This window comes from Homo sapiens, chromosome 13, assembly GCF_000001405.40.
Source record: "Homo sapiens chromosome 13, GRCh38.p14 Primary Assembly".
Classification (NCBI taxonomy): domain Eukaryota; kingdom Metazoa; phylum Chordata; class Mammalia; order Primates; family Hominidae; genus Homo; species Homo sapiens.
The window spans coordinates 73,101,154-73,107,153 of record NC_000013.11 but is presented as its reverse complement, the minus strand read 5'-3'; positions in this window follow the sequence as shown (position 1 = coordinate 73,107,153).

Here is a 6,000-nt window from a genome sequence, read left to right as displayed (position 1 = left end):
ATACAATGCTTTAATCAAAACTTTCCAAAAGGAACTGGTGACTCTTTAAGGAATCTGATATTTAATCATTGCTGTTCTAATGGTTTAAAACAAAGAGGTATAATCCACCGAGTTTTAAACAGAAACTAGTCTAACAAGTTCTATACTTTATTTTTGAACTCTATTTCCTTATTTTCCCGTGTTCTCAAGAACATTTTTAAAGTTTATCCATGTGATGCAAATGTCACGTGGAAGATATAAATACTACTCTTCAGATATTTTGCATTCTTCCTGATTCAAAGTCATAGTTAATATTAATGCAATTCAAAAAATTGACAAAAAACTGTGTCTCCAAGGAAACTAGTGGAGGAGGGGGAGAGAGATATGAATCTGTGATTTGATTAATAATTAGACACTCAGCCATTTTGTCACTCTCCATATCATCCACGAATATGCCATCATGTCCATGGCAGAGCCAGCAAATCTCCAAATAACCAGAAACCTCTAGCAGGTGACTCTAAGCGAGTTGTATTTTTTTTTTTTTTTTTTTTTTTTTGAGAGAGTCTAACTCTGTTAACCAGGCCGAAGTGCAGTGGCCAGATCTTGGCTCCCCGCAACATACGCCTCCCGAGTTCAAGCGATTCTCCTGCCTCAACCACCCAGGTAGATGGGATTACAGGCGCCTGCCACTACACCTGGCTAATTTTTGTATTCTTAGTAGAGACTTTTTATAGAGAATTTGTAGTGACTTTTTATATAGAATTGCTTGGATTACTGTATCATCTTGTAAAAATTCTATGAAGCAAATACCAAGAAATAGAATTCTATGTAGGGCAATTCTGAAATTAAAAAATTACCAAAAGGGTATGGGAATTGATTAAATTAAAACAGGGGCCGGGCACGATGGCTCAAGCCTGTAAACCTAACCCTTTGGGAGTCCAAGATGGGTGGATCACCTGACGTCAGGAGTTTGAAACCAGCCTGGCCAACATGGTGAGCCCATCTCTATAAAAATATAAAAATTAGCCGGGCATGGTAGCGGGCACCTGTAATCCCAGCTACTCGGGAGGCCAAAGCAAGAGAATCGCTTGAACCTGGCAGGCAGAGGCTGCAGTGAGCTGAGATCGCACCACTGCACCCCAGCCTGGGCTACAAGAGTGAAACTCCTTCTCAAAAAAAAAAAAAAAGAAAAGGGAAATTAAGGTCCTGCAGGGTGCAGTGGCTCACACTGTAATCCCAGTGCTTTGGGGAGCAGAAACGAGAGGATCCCTTGAGCCCAGGAGTTCGAGACCAGCCTGGGCAACTTAGCAAGACCCTATCTAGGCTGGACGTGATGGCTCACACCTGTAATCCCAGCACTTTGGAAGGCCAAAGTGGGTGGATGACCTGATGTCAGAAGTTCAAGACCAGCCTGGCCAACATGGTGAAACACCACCTCTACTAAAAAAGTACAAAAAATGGCCAGGTGCAGTGGCTTGTGCCTGTAATCCCAACACTTTGGGAGGCCAAAGACAGCAGATCACCTGAGGTCAGGAGTTCAAGACAAGCCTGAACAACATGGAGAAACCCCATCTCTACTAAAAATACAAAAATTAGCTCAGTGTGGTGCCGCATGCCTATAATCCCAGCCACTCGGGAGGCTGAGACAGGAGAATCACCTGAACCCGCAAGGCAGAGGTTGCGGTGAACTGAGATCATGCCATTGCACTCCAGTCTGGGCAACAAGAGTGAAACTCTGTCTTAAAAAAAAAAAAAAAATTAGCCGGGCATGGTGGTGCATGCCTGTAATCCCAGCTATTTAGGAGGCTGAGGCAGGAGAACCGCTTGAACCTGGGAGGCAGAGGTTGCAATGAGCCAGGATCGCACCACTGCACTCCAGCCTGGGCAACAGAGTGAGAATCTATCTCAAAAAAAAAAAAAAAAAAAAAAAAGGCCTTATCGCTACAAAAAAAAAAATTAAAAATTAGTCAGTCATGGTGGCACATGCCTATACTATATTCCCAGCTGCTCAAAAGGCTGACATGAAAGGATCGCTTGAGCCCAGGAATTTGAGGTTACAGTGAGCTACAATCGAACCACTGCACTCCAGCCTAGGCAACAGAGCAAGATCCTGTCTCTAAAAAACTAATAATAATAATAGTAATGATAATAACAAATTGAGGTGCTGTGAAAAGTCCTGACATATCATCAGACACCTTTTGGAAGTTGAGGCATTATTCAACAGAATTTTCTTTTCTTTTCTTTTTTTCTTTTGAGATGGAGTTTCACTCTTGTTGCCCAGGCTGGAGTGCAATAGCACAATCTCCACTCACTGCAACCTCTGCCTCCCGGGTTCAAGCGATTCTCCTGCCTCAGCCTCCCAACTAGTTGGGATTACAGGCATGGACCACTATGCCCGGCTAATTCTGTATTTTTAGTAGAGACTGGAGTTTCACCATATTGGTCAGGCTGGTCTTGAACTCCTGACCTAAGGTGATCCCCCCCGGGGCCTCAGCCTCCAAAAGTGCTGGGATTACAGGCGTGAGCCACTGCACCCGGCTTCAACAGAATTTTCTAGGAACATTATTCAGTTTCCAATCAAGAAGAAATTTTCAGTCATTTCTTTTGACTAACCCATCATGTCCATATTTAGACCTTTCTCTAGTGCTTATCACTAAAGTACCTATGTCCTCAGGAAGAGATATTATAATGAAAATCACAGCCAGTTGTTAAGAAGCCCTGCTGGGCCTATGCACCAATGACCAGATTAAGGATGAGGACCTATGAACTTTAATCCTGTCACTCACCTATTGGATAGCCATCGGCAATTTACCTTACCCTATTGTGCTCATGTTTCCATTTAAAAAAAAAAAGAAGAAGGAGGAGGAGGAGAAGAAGAAGAAGCCAAGCGCAGTGGCTCAAGCCAGCACTTTGGGAGGCTGAGGCTGGCAGATTACCTGAGGTCAGGAGTTCAAAACCAGTCTGGCCAACACGGTGAAACCCCGTCTCTACTAAAAATACCAAAATTAGCCGGGCTTGGTGGCTCACTCCTGTAATCTCAGTACTTTGGTAGGCCGAGGCAGGCGGATTACGAGGTCAAGAGATCGAGACCATCCATCCTGGCCAACATGGTGAAATCCCATCTCTACTGAAAATACAAAAATTAGCTGGATGTGGTGGCACGTGCCTGTAATCCCAGCTAATTTGGAGGCTAAGGTAGGAGAATCGCTTGCACCCAGGAGGCGGAGGTTGCAGTGAGCCGAGATCGTGCCACTGCACTCCAGCGTGTCAACACAGAGAGACTCTGTCCCAAAAAAAAAAAAAAAAAAAAAAAAAAAAGAATCAAAACAGTACTTTTACCAGTGAAAAAAATGTTAGGCATTTGTGGGGCTAACTTAGTTCAAGTGCCTGAAAGCCTTTACAAAATGGACGTTTTATGCAAAAACAAAACAGAAAGAAGAAGGAAAGTCAGATTAGTGCCAACAGATACTTCATCACCTTCAGCTGCTTGATAATATTCTTTATAGGATACCTTCTCCAGTCAACAATAGAAAAGCAATACCTCCAAAATACATTTAAATCTATAAAAAGGAACTGATAGAATCTACTGCTTCAAGCAAAATCAAATATAAAGAACTGACAACATTCCACTTCGAAAATAAAATTTTTGTTACTATGGGCTTATCTGTGCTAATTCCCACTCTTTGCTGATAAAAAGGTAACCCATCAGGATTTAAACATTTCTTCAAACCAAGCAACCTGTTGAACAACTTCTTAATGTGCCTATCAATCATCTGGTGATAAGAAGAGTTTGCATTTATATTAGCTAGTTGCTAAAATAAATATGAGTTACTATAACTAATTCAATCAACAATGGGACTTCAGAGGTCAGCAGAGAAATAATCAAACAATAAGTATGAATAGGTTGTAATTTTTCTGATTAACAAATGTTCTCCTTGTCATAGGATGTTAAGAGCTGCTTAAAGCGCTCGGGTAAATTTAGAATGTATGTATTTACCTTGGAGGGGTCTGTGTGCACACTCCCAATTAGAAACCCATGAGCCTGTAAGTTTTGCAGACACCAGGTTTTGCTTTCGGAAAACGTGTCTCTATATGGTATTTATTTTTAACAGGCTCCAGTGCCACAATTGATAGAAACCAACAAAGATCAGATAAAATCCCAGCCCCACTTTTTAAAGACATTCATACTAGACTATTCCAAAAGTATTTTAGAAACCAGTTGATGTGTTAAAATTTGATAATTCTTTCTTCTTTTCCCAATTAGAATTACATTCTTTACCATGGAGGGGAAGAAAGATACTTGGATCCTGAGTCAGGATTTGTCCCCCTCCAAACAACCAATGTCAGTTGGAGAGCTGAAGGGTAAGGTCAAAAAGTTGATCATATCTTATTGTCATCACACGTTTACAATCTGACCAAAATGTAAGATCTAGGTTTCTACTGCTCTTGATTCCTCATATCTACTACTGTCCCGTTTTAAACCCAGAGAAGTACAGCAGCAGTAGCAAATAACGTTCAGATGCAAAATAGAGCAGTAAGGGTAAACGTTTGGGGGTTAGGCAGTGGAATTAACAAAAGCAAAAAATAAAGGAAACAAACAAATGGGAACTAAAGGTATCAGTGATTAATCAAATAAGAATAATTTCGGCCGGGCACGGTGGCTCACGCCTGTAATCCCAGCACTTTGGGAGGCAGAGGTGGGCGGATCACGAGGTCAGGAGATCGAGACCATCCTGGCTAACACGGTGAAACCTCGTCTCTACTAAAAATACAAAAAATTAGCCGGGCATGGTGGCAGGCGCCTGTAGTCCAAGCTACTTGGGAGGCTGAGGCAGGAGAATGGCGTGAACCCAGGAGGCGGAGCTTGCAGTAAGCCGAGATCGCACCACTGCACTCCAGCCTGGGCGACAGAGCGAGACTCCGTCTCAAAAAAATAAATAAATAAATAAATAAATAAAATAATAATAATTTCTGCCTTTAGTTTAGACACATAACTTCATTGCGATCCCAAATTCTAATGTTTTTAAACAGCTGGTTGGTTTAGCCTTCTCTTGGCCATAATAATTTACCATGGAGTTTTAGGGCTAACTAAAAGAATGAATGGAATGAATGAATTGGATGAATGACAGTGGTTGACTTCATATACTGATGCTTGAGGCATCATTGTAGATTCCTGCAGAGAAATTCAGGTGGACAAAAACCCCCTCCTTTTAGGAACATGGGCTCATTTCAAGCATTTAAGAGTGATTGGGATTAAGGTCTCAGAAATACAGAAAACTGAAAAATGTGCCACGTGACATGTATAAAGGAAGCAACTGACACAAAATGACTGTTAAATGCCTAGCTATGAAAGCATAAATGTCATTAGACAGTCAGCTTCTTCTCTGGAAACTAGATTTTAATAGGTTTTTGATTGACACCTTTCTTCTTGTTTCTTTATTACTCACACCTTGGAGGGATTTGCTTTCAAAAGGATTTGCTTAAATTTCCCCCTCAAAATCCAATTTGCAAATACACCTGCAATTGCATTTTCAATATGTACAGTCACACAGGTGCTATCTTTTGCATGCGAAAGAGTCCAAGCTAATAAGTCTGCCCAGGGCAACCCAGCCAACCCAGCCACACATCAGAGTCCAGGGGACTGATTCCTGCAGCAGGGAAAGGAGTGGAAGAATTGAGGCCATTAGTTAGCTCCCCTGGGCTGAAAGTCCACTTGGAGTGAATTTGGAATTATAGACATACCTTCCTATAATTTAAGTGTTGGGCCTGAACTCTGAATAAATAGATCAAATTTAGGTTTCAGTTTCACTGGAGAAAAATCTGTCCAGAAAATATTTTCCCGATACTTGGGAAAAAGATATGAGTTGAAATGACCATGGACTATTGAATCCACAGTTTTAAACTGTTTTCTGTAGCAGTTCAAAATGGTAAACTCTGATTGTGCATATTCAGTGACTTTTCATCAGTCAACAAATATTTTTGAATGCCTAGTGTGTGCCTAGCTTGCATCAGGAGCAGAAA